At 43.0% G+C, this 16,428-nt stretch overlaps 1 protein-coding gene across 8 annotated transcripts in view; it reads right to left on the reverse strand.

The window, feature by feature from the left end:
* KIF13B (kinesin family member 13B) overlaps positions 1–16,428 on the reverse strand; it is a 196,111-nt gene that overhangs the window by 25,177 nt on the left and 154,506 nt on the right. For 7 of the 8 annotated variants that reach the window (XM_011544459.4, XM_005273458.2, NM_015254.4 and 4 more), the window contains 3 exons: positions 15,685–15,738; positions 6,679–6,787; positions 291–424 (listed from right to left, as the gene is read on the reverse strand). In XM_011544459.4, the coding sequence (XP_011542761.1) occupies positions 291–424; positions 6,679–6,787; positions 15,685–15,738 (297 nt within the window). The remainder of the gene's footprint in view (positions 1–290; positions 425–6,678; positions 6,788–15,684; positions 15,739–16,428) is intronic. The other variant, XM_017013257.2, reaches the window with a different exon arrangement.

Consider the following 16,428-nt stretch of genomic DNA (forward strand, 5'->3'; position numbering starts at 1 on the left):
GTGCACTTCATAAATTTTACTACCGCTGCTCTAAGTGTTATTACCATACATCACATTAGCAGTGTCCTTGGCACTTCTTAAAAGCAGAAAGGAAGGAGTGTGTCCGTAAGTTTAAACAGCTCTGTTATCTCTGAAGAGAGTGGCGGAGAAAAGACCGACAGCTGTTTCTGGGTTTAAAAACCCAGTTTAGCCCCAACCCAGAGGCCGCACCTCCACCTCCAGCTTTGGCGCAACACAGAGCACCGCTTTATTAGAAAAACGTTCACAGCTGTTTTCTCGGTGCTTTTTACCTGGTGTGCGAGGGGAGACGGCCGCTTGCCCCTCTTCTCATCGCGGACGGGAAAGAGAGACTTGAGGAGCTTTGGCATTTGCGGCACGAAGGATTTGACAGGATTCAAGTAGGATGCTGCAAGGTTACTGAGTCCTGCCCATATTACAGGGGAAAAAGATAAAACAAATACAATTACATAGACATCTTCTTTCCTGTACATTTGACAGACATCACTTGTCAGCAAATCTAACAAAAACCAAAGGTATCCTTAAAAAATATTAGAGAAACACAGTATTATTGTAGTTTACATAATTTCCCTCAAACATAGTAATGTCTCTTTTTCAATTAAATAGCAGTAACTGGGGTGCTGCCAAAATGCTCTAGTATGCAGTGTTCCTATCAGCATCAGAACAGTAATTCACCTCTATCCTGTCACTAATTGGCACAAGCATTCACTTCTGCCCTAGAATAAAATGGGATTGGTTTTTAAGTCACACTGCCAATGACACAGATGTATAGCTCTTTGTCTAGACTTTAAGCTCTTTGAAGTCAGGGACTATGTCTTATTCAATCTAATTTTTCATAACTACTGAAGGAAGATGATGAAACTGACCTTTTGGGAAAAGGGTAAAGGGTAGTGTTTGAGTTGTTTGTTAAAAGTCAGGGAGAGACGCCCTGAACAACTTACGTTCTTACCTGCTGTTAATTTCCAAAGACTGGGATCAGAGGTACAGACAGGTATACTTATGATATACTAAGACTTCTTCCCCCTATTAATTTATAGTAAAATCTAATCCCAAGTCATAAGTGATAAAAAGCCGTATTCACACAACATTTAGAAATGAACAAGCAAGTCACCTTAAGGAATACATTTGCCTCAACAGATGCACACAACTCCCCCCAGATCTCTTCTCCACACTAACCCTGAAAGGATTCCAAACTTACTGGCAATTCAGTTGGTAAATGGATGGATACAGCTGTAAGGTTTCTACATTTTACATAAAGCAGTAGAATATTAAGTGTAAGTATACGGCAAAAAGTTAAAGATGTACATTGTAATCATGAGGGCGACCACTGAAAAATAAAAAAGCAAAGAGATGGCTATACCGAGCCGAGAGATACATCATACCTCAGTTTAGAAAAGTCCAATTATTTACAGCAAGACAAAAACAAGGATGAGAAAAATAAGAGAGGAGACAGAAAATAAAATAGGGTTAAGATGAATAAAGATCCAAAAATATACAATTATTTCAAAGATGAGGAAAAAAATTACAATCTAGAGTTCTGTATCAAATTAAACTAACATTCTAGAGTAAGGACAATCCCTCATTAAGTAAAAATCTAGCCAGTAATGAATCAAAGGCCGCACATATCACTAAATGAGACCATCAGACATTATGTGTCTCCAACCTCCCGACCACACATCCACACCCACCCACCCTACCACATGCATCCTTCTCAAATCAGCTGAATCGAATCAAGGATCTAGCTCTACCTACCAGTTCACAGGCAATACAGGGGACAGAATTGCGTTTCAACAGTCTCACGGGAACACAACAGGAAAAGTAAGAATGAACAGAATCTGCTGTGCAAGAACCTGGCCTACTGTGCCAGTCTACTCTACAAGAACCTAGTTTCTTCAACAAACACAATGCATGGTCGTGAAGTATTTCTCACCAATAAAAAATAAATGACTAATGCAATCAACAATCTGGGAAAATTTAACACGTATGGTAAGCAAAAGAGACAGACACAAAAAGGACATACATCATATGGCCCCATTTATGAAACTGCAGAAGTAATCTAGAGAAGTAGTCGTCAGAACACTGGCTGACCACAGGGAATGGGAATTAACTGGAGTCATGTCAATGTCCTATATTTTGACTGGGGTATGAATCACATGGATATATACAAATACATTTGGTAAAACATTAAATATGACCCACGGTCAACAAAGGAATCAATAAAAATAGACCATGAGATGTCTAGATACTGGATTTAACAGACAACGACTTTAAGGCAGCTTTCTTAACCAAGTCCAAAGATGCAAAGGAGAATACAGTCTTGACAAGTGCACAGACCAGGAACATCAGCGGAGAAATTAAAACTAGAAAAGCAGCAGCAAATGGAAATTCTAGAACTGAAAAAAAAACAATGACTGAAATGAAAAAATTCCCTGGATGTGCTTAACAGAGCCCTGGAAATCACAGAAAAAAATTATCCAACTAGAAAAAATAAAAAGATTAAAAAAAAAAAAAAGAACAGAGCCTCTGTGACCTGTAGGACAATATTAAACAATCTAACCTATGAGTAATTAGATTCTCAGAAAGAGCAGAGAGAAAAGGATGGGGGAAAAGTTTTAATGAATAATGTCTAAACATTTCTCACGATTGCTGAAAAACATCAATTTACGGATCCAATAACTTGATAAGCAAGTTAAATACTAAGAAAATGATAACTAAGCAAATCATAGTACAGTTACCACAAAGATAAAGAGAAACTTCTGAAAGTAGGTGAACCAAACAAAGATACCACACTGAGTGGGAGGTGACAAATGATGGCTGAATTCTCAGCAGAAAAGAAGGAGCTGGAGATGAGGAAACATCTTTGAAGTGCTAAAAGAAAAAACCTCCAACTCAGAGTTCTCTATCCAGTGAAAATATTCTTAAAACAACAACAAAACAAAACAGTGAAATAAAGATACTTTCAAAAAAGGAGAGCATTTTTCTCCAGGAGGACTGTACTCTTAAGAAATACTAGGCTGGGTGCGGTGGCTCACGCCTGTAATCCCAGCACTTTGGGAGGCCGAGGCGGGTGGATCACCTGAGGCCTGGAGTTCGAGACCAGCCTGACCAACATGGAGAAACCCCATCTCTACTAAAAATACAAAAATTGGCCAGGCGTGGTGGCACATGCCTGTAATCCCAGCTACTTGGGAGGCTGAGGCAGGAGAATCACTTAAACCCGGGAGGCAGAGGTTGTGGTGAGCCAACATCAGGCCACTGCACTCCAGCCTGGGCGACAAGAGCAAAACTTCATCTCAAAAAAACAAAACAAAACAAAACAAAACTACAGAATATTCTTCAGGCTAAAAAGAAATAAAATCAGATTAAAATAAGACCTTCAGGAAAGACTGGATACTGCCAGAAATAATCTGAAAAAAACAAAACAAAACGAAACAAAAAACAAAACATAAAAGATTATCCATTTTTTCTGTATTCTCTCAAAAGACAAGTAGTGTTTTTTTTTGTTTGTTTTTTGTTTTTTTTTTTTTAAGACAGAGTCTCACTCTGTCACCCAGACTGGAGTGCGATGGCGTGATCTTGGCTCACTGCAGCCTCTGCCTCCCAGGTTCAAGTGATTCTCCTGCCTCAGCCTCCGGAGGAGCTGGGACTACAGGTACCTGCCACCACACCTGGCTAATTTTTGTGTTTTTAGTAGAGACAGGGGTTTCCCCATGTTGGCCAGGCTGGTCTTGAACTCCTGACCTCAGGTGATCCCCCCTGCCTTGGCCTCCCAAAGTGCTGGGATTACAGGCGTAAGCCACTGCACCCAGCCCAAGCTTTTCTTTTTTTTTTTTTTTTTTTTTTTTGAGAAAGGATCTCACTCTGTCGCCTAGACCTGAGTACAGTGATGCAATTGTGCCTCACTGCAGCCTCAACCTCCCAGGTTCAGGTAATTCTCCCACTTCAGCCTCCTGAGTAGAGGGACTACAAGTGTGTACCACCACGCTCAGCTGATTTTTGTATTTTTTTGTGGAGATGGGGTTTTGCCATGTTGCCCAGGCTGGTCTCAACTAACCCACACCTAGGCCTCCCAAAGTGCTAGGGCTACAGGTGGGAGCTACCGCACCCGGCCTACAGGTGGCTATTTTAAAGCAAAAAGAATAACGTCATAAAGTGAGGTTTGAATACCTATATATGTAGAAGATGAAACAACAGTACAAAATGAGGGGCCCAGAGGAACAGGTCAATGACTTACACTGTTGCATGGTTCCTGTATTTGTGAGGTGAGGGGTGACGTCATATGAACTCTAAGCGATTTGATAAGTTAAGGATGCCAAGTAGGGTTTCTGAGCAAAGACTTTAGCAAACAAATACAGGTGTCCAAAAAAGCAAAAAGAGGAAATAAAATGAGATACTAATTTTTGTTTATTAACCCAAAAGAAGGTAAATAAGGAGTTACAGTGAAACAAAAAACAGAATGGCCAAGCAGAAAACCAATAAAAATATGGCGGACCAGAATGGGAGGCAATGGAAGGGTTCGTGAAGCATGCCGATTGAAGGGCAGGAACTACGAGATGAGATTCAGGGGGAAATAACTGGACCCAACCAAATGTTGTCTACAAGGCAATCGCTTTTAATTTAAAGACAAACACAGGCTAAAATTTTAAAAGCCAAGAAAAAGATACATCGTGCAAACAGTAAATAAATTTGATGCAGTTATATATAAATGATAGGTAAGAGAGATTTCAAGGTAAGAGTATTCCCAGAGACAAAAGGGACATTTCATGATAGGCCACTCTATCAGGAAGATATAACAATCTTAAATGTGTTATATCAGGAAGATATAACAATCTTAAATAATTAGAAGCTAATTATCAGAGCTTCTAAATGAATGAAGTAAAAACTGGTATAAAGGGAAACACATATAATTTTCACAATTATATTTGGATATCTAATGCCCTCTCAAGAACTGATGGAATAGGCCTCCACCAAATCAGCAAAGATCCAGAGGATTTGAACAAGGCAATAAACCACAGTGACCTAATTAGATATACATAGAACATCATGTCCCCAAACACAATAGTGCACATAGAATATTAACCAAGATAGAACACAATCTGGAATACAGATTACCCCCAAAAATAAAAAAGAATTAATGCTAGTTGATAAGTCATGGATCAAAGAAGCAATCAGAGGGAAATTTTAAAATACTCTGAATAGAATGAAAATGAAAGCACAACATACCAAAATATGTGAAATGCAGAAAAATTTAAAAAATCAATTGCAATAGAAAAAGCCAAAAACTGGTTCTGAGATTAATATATATGATAAACCTGTCAGAAAAGTATTCAAAACAGATAATACAAATTATCAGTATCAGAATAAAAAGAAGGAACATCACAAGAGATCCTATAAGTATTTAAAAAATAAGGTAAAGTGGCCAGGTGCGATGGCTCATGCCTGTAATCCCAGCACTTTGGGAGGCCAAGGCCGGCAGATCACAAGGTCAGGAGATAGAGACCAACCTGGCTAACATGGTGAAACTCCGTCTCTACTAAAAATACAAAAAATTAGCTTGGCATGGTGGCACGTGCCTGCAGTCCCAGCTACTTAGGAGGCTGAAGCAGGAGAATCACTTGAACCCAGGAGGCAAAGGTTGCAGTGAGCCGAGATCGCACCACTGCACTCCAGCCTGGGCGACAGAGTCAGACTCCATCTCAAAAAAAAAAAAAAAAAAAAGTAAGTGATGTTTATGAAAATAAACTTAATAATCTAGATAAACTAAGAAACTCCTTGAAAAAAATATAACCTATGATAGGTGACTCAAAAGGAGACACAAAGATCTAAATATTCCCATACTAAATAAACTTGCCGGGTGCAGTAGCTCACGCCTGTAATCCCAGCACTTTGGGAGGCTGAGGCAGACAGATCACCTAAGATCAGGAGTTTGAGACCAGCCTGGCCAACGTGGTGAAACCCCATCTCTACTAAAAATGCAAAAATTAGCCAGGCGTGGTGGTGGGCGCCTGTAATCCCAGCTACTTGGGGGGCTGAGGCAGGAGAATCACTTGAACCTGGGAGGGGCAGGTTGCAGTGAGCCGAGATTGCACTACTGGACTCCAGCCTGGGTGACAGAGCAAGACTCTGTCTCAAAAAAAAAAAAAAAAAGAAACTCAAGTCATAATTTAAAATCTCCCCACAAAGAGGATTCCAGGCCCGGATCATGTAACTACGGAATTTCATGAAACATTTAAGGAAGAGGTAATACTAATCTTACATAAACTCTCCCAGAAAAAAAAAATGAGGAGAAACATTTCCCAAGTCGTTTTATGAAGCCAATGCAATCATAACAAAACCTAACAAAGACATGAAGATGAGAAGATAAAACATTACAGATATTTACTATAGAGCACATACACAAAAGTCCTTAAAAAAGAGGTGCAAAGAGATTCCAGCAATGTACGGCTAACACATCATGATCAGGCGGTATATATCAGAGCAATGCAAGATCAATCCAACATTCCAGAGCCAATGGAACTCAACCTGTTAAGAGGAGAAATGAAACAACTCGATGGACATTATCTAGCAGAACAGTGGCTGCCTGGCAGGAAATTCTAATTTAAACTTTCTGAAAGATGCTCAGATTTCTGACAGTAATTGACAAGTGAAAAGATAACTTACCTGGATCTGGAGAATGGTTATTTTGGGGAGAAACAGAGAGGGCGGGGGCAGGAGCTATTCCTCTGGAAACTGTGGTTTGGGATACATCCTGCTGACTTTCCCACCGGCCCTAGTAAAGACAAAATTGGCAATTTTGTTTCAAGTTATTCAATTAACCAAACAAAAAAAAATTACAGATACTCAAGAAAAAAAACTGTTATATATTACTAAAGCTCCTTTGAATATAAGCTTGATTACATCAGCACTTTTTTTTTCTATTTTAAGAGACAGAGTTTCTGTCACCCAGGCTGGAGTGCAGGGGTGCGCCATCATAGCGCATGTAACCTCTAACTCTTAGACTCAAGCAATTCTCCCGCCTCAGCCTCCATAGCAGTGGGGACTGCAGCTACATGCCACCACATGAGGCTAATCTTTTTACTACTTTTGTAGAGACGGGATGTCACTATGTTGCCCATACTCAAACTCCCAGCATCAAGCAATCCTCCTTCCTTGGTCTCCCAAAGTACTGGCATTACAGGTGTGAGCCACCATGCCCGATCAGCACTTTTCTTCTACTTGTCATCCTGCTTATTTTATTAATTTCTCCAACAATAATAATCATACCCCCCCACACACATTTGGACAGCCCCTCCATACTGCAGTTTACAGTCTCCCATTAAGCTCTGTCCTAACATGTTTTCTACTCTGCATCCTGTTGCCTCCCACAGAATACAGACGTATTCCTTCTGCAATTCTCCCTTCGGTTCTGCTTTGAGACCACTTCTGCTCTTTTGCCTCAAGATACCCTTTTTCACTCAGTTCTCCACAGAAACCCACGAACAACTCTATAGTCAGAGGGTGTCTCTTCTCTCTACTCCCAGACTGTGTTTCCACTGACTCACATATAGTGCATAACAGTAAATATTACCAAATCTCTCATTTTAAATAGATATTAAAGATAAATTACAGTCAAACCCAAGTCAAATAATTACAAATTCTCAATGATGGAAGTCTCTGAATTATCAAATTTTATTGTATTCTCAACTTATTTGTAAATTCCCATTAAAGACATTTCATCAGTTGATAGATTAAAAGACCATTCCAAAATTCATGGTGAGCCATAAAAATAGTGATACCATCAAAGCACTTTTAACTTCAGCCCTATCTAGGGAAGAAATAAACCCCAAATGTTGCTTGTACTAAAACTGATAAGAGATGAGATGTAAATCTTTTAAATGCTTTAAGTTCCCTTTGATCCCCTGATAATCACTGACTTCTTTACCACTGGAGTTTAATAATCGTGTGCAATATGAGTTTGAGCTAGTGCTGCACAGATGAATAATCCTAATGATTAACTCGAGGTTTTTTTTTTTTGAGACTGAGTTTCATTGGCGCAATCTCGGCTCACCGCAACCTCCACCTCCTGGGTTCAAGCGATTCTCCTGCCTTAGACTCCTGAGTAGTTCGGATTACAGGCATGCGCCACCATGCCCGGCTAATTTTGTATTTTTAGTAGAGATGGAGGGGGTGTTTCCTCCATGTTGGTCAGACTGGTCTCGAACTCCTGACCTCAGGTGATCCGCCCGCCTCGGCCTCCCAAAGTGCTGAGATTACAGGCGTGAGCCAACGCGCCTGGCAAGTTTTCTTTACTAATTGCCTGATCAGCGAAATGGGGACAGTGAGTTCTCCACTGCTCTTGAAGATGGATTGTGGAGGAAGGGCCTCTTAGGTTTCAGAAATGTATTGGAAACCCATCTGCTTTTAGCAGCGACCTAAGTACTAATCATAAAAATCAATAAGCCCTAAGTGATCTGGGTCCTGCGCACCTCAGAGAATGCCACTTTTCCCTAGGAACTCTCTCAGCACTTGGTATCCTTTTTAAAAATGGTGTGATGGTCAGGATTGATTAGGAAGCAAGGAGAACAAGGGAGAGAGCAACACGTGATCATCGAGAACGTAAGCTCTGAAATACTTCAGCGGAGGAGCGCTGGCATCCCCATGAATCATACGCTGATTTACATACTTGAATGTTTTGTTAATTTTTGCATTCAAATTTCATGATCTGTCTGGGAAGCTGCGGCCTTGTATACCCGGGGATATCACCATCAGGTGACTGAACACTAAGATCAGCCCTCCATGGAGTTTCTCAGAGGAAGAAAAGCCACCTGCTTTGTGTACAGTGGCGAGCTCACACATGGCTGTTCTGAAGACAACTTACTTAATTTGAGAGTATTGTTTCATATTTTAGATTTTCTTTGTTTGGTAGCTGATATGGCTGCGGTCTGTCCCTCAGGAAAACTAAGCCGCTGATCTGGAGTCGGCACCTGGGCTGCTTGACGTAGAATTGGGCCAACGACAAATTATGGAGGTGCCACCTCTTCCCCAAGGCACACCCAGGCCCCGATGGCTTCAGGGGCAGTTCTTCCCAGCAGGCACTACCCAATCAGAACAGAGCAGTAACTCCATCTCATTTACTCAAATACTGAAAGTGAGAACACTGAAAGATACACAATGCGTAGATCCTGCCAGCCCTGCAGAGCGTGACAAACAGAGACACGGCTCACTCTGCCCTCTACCTGAACAGTCATCTTAACCTTGAGGAACCTCACATGCTCCCCCCGCAACCCCACCTATTCTGATCCCACTGTCCTGAGACAGGGACCTCAAATCGCGCTGGGATGGAACAGGCTCTGCTTCAGAGGGAGCAACCAATGCAGATGCTAAACTGGGTACCACGCGCTTCCCTCCTCCAGCTGACGCCTACGAATCTCTGCGGAAACACTCCACTGGAATTACTCACTCGATTTTTCTCCTGCACTACAACCTCCATCCTCTTGACAGAGGTGAAAAGTGTGGTTCAGGGTCCGGCTACACACACTGTTCCCCAGGGACAACGCAATGACTATCTTCCCAATATGTTGTATATGCTTAGCTGTCCTAGAGTTATCCTCCCTTTACTAAAATGTTGGGGTAGATTAAAAAAGAAAAAAAAAAAAAGAAAAATGAAGCAACCCAGTTCAATGTACTTCACAGGGAGATGAACTCAGGACCATGGACTAAAAAGGACTTCGCAGGAAACCTCTGGCTCTCTCAATAGCTCAGGTCTAAACGTGAAAGAGTATGATATCCCTGTTTTACTTCTCCTCCAGTAATCTACACCCCTCCACCTGAAATCGAAAAAGATAAATCTCTGATCTGTCTCCAACATCCTGCATGTCTACCACACTTCAGAATCAGCCATGATACAGTTACACAGAGGGAAGCTGGCTTTGTTTTGGATCCTTACCCAGCTTTACTGCCATTAGGGCACATTTGTCCTCACCGGCAGACTCAAAGAGATAAAATCCTAGTCGATACTGAAGTCACTGGTAGGCAGCACCATGCTCAGGGGCAAAGTGGACAAAGTAAGAACGCCGGAGGCTCCGGGGAGGGCCTGACTTGGTCCCCAGGGACCCATGCAGTTTTTCCCACTCCTGCTCCTCTGCCAGATACGGATTCTTTGGGTTTTCTGGGAATGAGTCTGGTTTTGATCAGGAAAGTGACAAAAAGGTAAATAACGAGAAGTGCCAGTGACATTTCGGGTCCAATGGCAGCTTTCACTGCAGCTGGAAGAGGAGTGACTCATGCTTGGCATCTCCTCCCAGGGCTGCGTGAAACCATCACGGCTTTCAGGAAGGCGATGGAGCCAACACAAAATTCAATTCTGCTAACTGGGTATTTGTTCATGCTATTGACTAATCTTAATTTCCTCAAAAACTCCAATCAAAAGATGACAAACATACAACCTTATTGACTTCTTAAAAATAAAATTTCTCCTAAAATAACTTTGGAAATAAAAATGATTTTGTCGGCCAGGTGCGGTGGCTCACGCCCGTAATCCCAGCACTTTGGGAAGCCAAGGCAGGCAGATCACGAGGTCAGGAGATCGAGACCATCCTGGCTAACATGATGAAACCCCGTCTCTACTAAAAATACAAAAAATTAGCCAGGCACGGTGGCGGGCGCCTGTAGTCCCAGCTACTCGGGAGGCTGAGGCAGGAGAACGGCTTGAACCCAGGAGGCGGAGCTTGCAGTGAGCCGAGATAGCGCCACTGCAGTCCGGCCTGGGCGAAAGAGTGAGACTCTGTCTCAAAAAAAAAAAAAAAAAACAAGTAAAACAACAATAACAAAAAAAATGATTTTGTCTTGACAGCATTTGTCACATTGCAAAAGACCTCAATGCACAGCTGACTCCAGGGTGGAAAGACCAACGACACGCCGAAATTCATCCTGCACCTCAACTTCAGCCGGTCTTGGCAGACAGTCATAAAAAGCCTGCTAAGGTTTCATTATACCTAGAGAAAATATCTGTACAATAATGATGAAACACACGATAGCAATAAATAGAAACACTACTTCCATCAGGGATCATATTTTATATTTTTAATTGAAAGACTTATCCCAAGAGTGATTTATTTTAGGCCCTATGGTGAATTTCGCATTTGGAATAGTTAACAAAACTATTTTTTAAGATTAATTAGTTCATCAATTCAATCTTGGTGGAGTTCAGCAAAAACAATTCCACTTTTCATATGTAGGGGCATCGACAAATAGAGGAATGGAAAGCAGGCTGGCCTCATTCCAAGTATTATTAGACCAAACTATGAGTTCCTCTTTAGAACCGAACCACTTTCCTCTCGCCTCCCACGTCCTCACTAAGTTACTCGGGGACCCCAAGGAACCAAGAACGAAAAGTAGGAAGGTCCAGAAGCGTTAACACAACTGTGAGACATCACAGTTACTTGCCTAATACGATTTGTCTTGCTAATCCCCAGCCCTGCACGGAAGGCACCTTGCACAGGCACACAATGAGCCCTGCAGCGTTGCACCTGAAATGGTCTCCCCCCATCCTCACCCCATGCTGTCTCCGAAGCATGTGGATGGAGTCCTTCCTAAAACACTCCTCCCCTGGACTTCTGAGACTCCCTTGGCCCTGTCTTCATTCCTCCCTGGCGCCGCCACCTCAGTGCACCTCAGTGGCCCTAAGTGTCACCACTGCCTCGGCGCTCCCCAGCCAACCCCGCCCCACACTGTCCCCACTATCCCCTCGGGCTCCCAAACCTGGCTTCAACTCGGACACCTGAGACCCTCGAAAATGGAACTGAATCATTTCCTCCCCAAGCCTGCCCTATAGTTCATCTCTCGGACCTATACACTGCTGTCCAAAACCCGATGTCACCCAAGTCCCCTCACTCCAGCCCGTCACATACTTGGCCTCTGCAGGATTCTAGAGTACCCCTCTCCAACCCATCTGTGTCTCTCGTCATCTCTCTGGCTATTTCTCCCCTAACCGGTCCCTCCACTCTCCAACTCAAAACCATTTTTCCCCACGTTTGCATTGATAACTGCATACATTTGTACCATATAGTTTCCTAATGCAAAATTACACACCACAGCTAGGGACGGGGTGGGGCTCAGCTGGACCATTAAAACAAACTTTTTAATTCACATGTGGTCATATTACTGCTCTGTTTTCAAGTCCTTCCATGGTGTCCAACTCCCCTGCCATTCCTTGGGACATGACGTCAAGATGCCAAAAATAAGGCCCCGCCTCTCTGGGTTCTGCCCACAGACTCCCTCTACTTTTTCTTTTTTTTATTTTTTATTTTTTTTGAGACAGAGTCTCGCTGTCGCCCAGGCTGGAGTGCAGTGGCGCGATCTCGGCTCACTGCAGGCTCCGCCCCCCGTGGTTCACGCCATTCTCTTGCCTCAGCCTCCCGAGTAGCTGGGACTACAGGTGCCCACCACCTCGCCCGGCTAATTTTCTGTATTTTTAGTAGAGATGGGGTTTCACTGTGTTAGCCAGGATGGTTTTTTTTCCTTTTTTTTTTTGGAAGACAGGGTCTCTCTCTGTCACCCAGGCTGGAGTGCAATGGTGCAATCATAGTTCACTGTGGCCTCAAACTCCCGGGCTCAAGTGATCCTCCCCTGCCTCAGCCTCGAATAGCTGGGATTACAAGCATAAGCCATATTGCCTCGCTAATTTTTTAAATTTTTTTTTGCAGAGAAAGGGACTCCCTATGTTGCCCAGGCTGGTCTCAAACTGCTGGGCTCAAGCCATCCTCCCACCTGGACCTCCCAAACTACTGAGATTACAAGCATGAGCCACCGCGCCCGGCCTGTACACTCTGAGCTTGACTCCCACTGCATGTACTGTCAAGAACACAGCAACCTGGTTCATCCCCAAGCCTTCGTTCACACAGATCCTTCTGCTCACAGTGTTCCTTCAGCTCCTTTCCTGCCTGTGTGGACCTCAGTGTCATCCTTCAGGGGGAGGCTTAAGAATGGCCTCTGCCCTGCAGCCTCCTGTGAGTCCTGTGTGAAGCCAGTGGGGGGTCCATGCCCTCTGCCATGCCCTGGCTGGGTTCTAATAGCATCTCTGCTCCTTTGTCCTATTTTTCTGGTGCACGTGAGGGACAGTACTTTTCTTTGAAGTAGATTCTATTATTTTCTGTTATTGTATCCATTTAAAATAAGGAAACTGGGCAGAGTTTGTTTGGTTTTTTTTTTTTTTTTTTTTTTTTTTGAGACAGAGTCTCGCTCTGTCGCCCAGGCTGGAGTGCAGTGGCACGATCTTGGCTCACTGCAACTTCCGCCTCCCGGGTTCAAGAAATTCTCCTGCCTCAGCCTTCCGAGTAGCTGGGATTACAGGCGCCTGGCACCACACCCAGCTAATTTTTGTATTTTTAGTAGAGACGGGGTTTCACCATGTTGGGCAGGCTGGTCTTGAACTCCTGACCTCAGGTGATCCACCTGCCTCAACCTCCCAAAGTGCTGGGATTACAGGCCTGGCCAGAGTTTTCTTAACAGAAGAAAAACAGAAGAATTTTGGCCACTTCTTTCAAGGAACTTATAATTGGAGATTTGGGTTAGATACATTTTCCACAAAAGCACAGGAAGTCATGTTTTTCTTATATTTTCCTTAAGATATTTTACTTACATTAAAAAGTCACGTACAATCAATTTTCAAAAACTCTGCTCTCTTCAGGTAATCACAACTGATGCTAAGCTACAGCTAATCAAACCTATCACTGGCAGAGTACAAACAAGCATTAAACTTCAGCACACTTACAGAAACCCGTGTCCATGCAGGGCTCCAGTGAACGGATAAGCTGGACAGCAATTTGTATGTCTACAAACATATACATGTATCATAGTGTAGGCAAACTACTAATAATCTAGATCTTAAAAGAGTCTACAGCCAGCAGCAGTGGCTTATGCCTGTAATCCCAGCACTTTGGGAGGCCAAGGCGGACAGATCACTTGAGGTCAGGAGTTCGAGACCAGGCTGGCCAACATGGTGAAACCCCGTCTCTACTAAAAATACAAAAGTTAGTAGGGCGTGGTGGCGAGTGCCTGCAATCCCCGCTACTGGGGAGGCTGAGGCAGGAGAATCACTTGAACCTGGGAGGCAGAAGTTGCAGTGAGCTGAGATGCTGCCACTGCACTCCAGCCTGGGCAACAAGAGCGAAACTCTGTCTCAAAAAAAAAAAAAAAAAAAAAAAAAAAGTCTAATTAATGCATCAACTTAATCTTCATTGTTCTTAAGTTTTTATAAGGGAAATGTCAAACATACACAAAAGCACAGTGTAGAATAATTAACAATTGGAATAGCACAATGAACTCCACTCAGCTTTAAGAATTATCATGAAGCAGCCAATCTTCTGTCTCTGTCACGCTGCCTCGTAGATTTGAAAACGACTCCCTCACATCAGACCATCTCATAAGACCACAGCCACTACTGACCTCCTCAAGGGCTGCAAATCAACATGGGGCATGCTGCACACAGATGGCAGTACCAACATCTAACCAGACCCCTCAAAAGTGACAGGCACAAACTACGATGTGTGGTGCCCAAGTAAGACAGTTTCAAGGAGTGCTAACCTTTTTGAAAAAGAATGAGTTCTCCATGCTTAAAACTCTGCTAAACAGGGAAGGCTCTATTACACATAAATAAATTCCAGCGAATAAAATTTCCGTTCCCTTGTTTTTCTTTCTTCTCACAAATAATGTTAACTTTTAGATATAATTTTCTTATTCCTCCTACATTTTTCAATCATTATACATCAGTACTTCTCTACAAAAATCTGATTTGGGCCAGGTGCAGTGGCTCACGCCTGTAATCCCAGCACTTTGGGAGGCTGAGGCAGGTGGATTACCTGCGGTCTGGAGTTTGAGACCAGCCTGGCCAACACGGTGAAACCCTGTCTCTAGTAAAAACATAAAAATTAGCTGGGTGTGGTGGCATGCACCTGTAATCCCAGCTATTTGGGAGGCTGAGGCAGGAGAATCGCTTGAACCTGGGAGGCGGAGGTTGTAGTAAGCCGAGATCGCGTCATTGCACTCCAGCCTGGGTGACAAGAGCGAAACATCATCACACACACACACACACAAAATCTAATTTGAAGTTTCTTTTTTTTTTTTTTTTTGAGACAGAGTCTCGCTGTTGCCCAGGCTGGAGTGCAGTGGTGCGATTTTGGCTCACTGCAGGCTCCGCCCCCCGGGGTTCACACCATTCTCCTGCCTTAGCCTCCCGAGTAGCTGGGACTACAGGTGCCCGCCACCTCGCCTGACTAGTTTTTTGTATTTTTAGTAGAGACGGGGTTTCACCGTGTTAGCCAGGATGGTCTCGATCTCCTGACCTCGTGATCCGCCCTCCTTGGCCTCCCAAAGTGCTGGGATTACATACGTGAGCCACTGCGCCCAGCCTGAAGTTTCTTTTCTGACAGAAATAGGAAGGAAATTTAGACAGAAGTACGAGCTTTAGCAGAAAAATTGTTTTTCAACCCCAGTAGTCAGAGTCTAATAAACCTTATTTTAATTGGCAAATTAAAAGAAATGAACTCTAAAACACTTTCAAGTAAGTTTCACATAATACAGATGAGTAGAGGAAATTCTGGCTTGCAAAAATAACCTGAGATTTGAGAAGATGAAAGCTGAATGGGAAATGGGACTTAAAACACTGATAGAAATAGTTAAAACACCTACCTTGTTGCTGCCTAGACTGTATGATGGAATGAGATCTTGTCGGCTTCCAGACAACTGAAGAAGAAAGAAAGGGGGGTTAGTTATTTATGCATCAGAGCATACACGTGGTCTAGGCAACGCCAGTCTTTGCCAACCCAGTCAACCGAACGTCAAAGTTGGGTGGCAGCAGAGAGGTTGTCATGACGAAGGCTGCACACTAGTGGTCTTTGGGACATTACAAACATTGAATTGGTTATGAACAATTTTCAGATGAGAGATTTCTATAAGATCTGGATATTCAGTTCACACTGAGGTCACAACCGGCTGGACCTGAACAAGAGATGTCGCGTTGGGTGAGCCCTTCTGTGTGAAAGATACCAGGTTACTTGTTATCTAACCATGGCCTGAGCTTATGATTCCTTTCTCTTGGTATCTGTAGCAACTGTAAATAAACTCACAAACTATTTAAACTATCAGATCCCAAACACTGAATCTCTGCATATGTCAGTGTATTTTAATATATCATTTTCTGAATAAATGAGACGTTATCCGCCTTGAGTTAAAGTGATCTTCCTAAATGTCTGAGATGGTTGGTGGCATCCAGCGTGAAACTCCTCCTATCACTCTCTCTTCTCTCTCAGACACTAAGGCCAAGGTCAGCTGCCCTTTCTCACAATGCTTGTGCTGTAACTTCTCTTGGTGTGAAGTTAGGAGGAAAGTATCATTTTTCATATCCACATCTTCATCAAAAATGAGGAAAAGAGT

This window comes from Homo sapiens, chromosome 8, assembly GCF_000001405.40.
Source record: "Homo sapiens chromosome 8, GRCh38.p14 Primary Assembly".
NCBI lineage: Eukaryota > Metazoa > Chordata > Mammalia > Primates > Hominidae > Homo > Homo sapiens.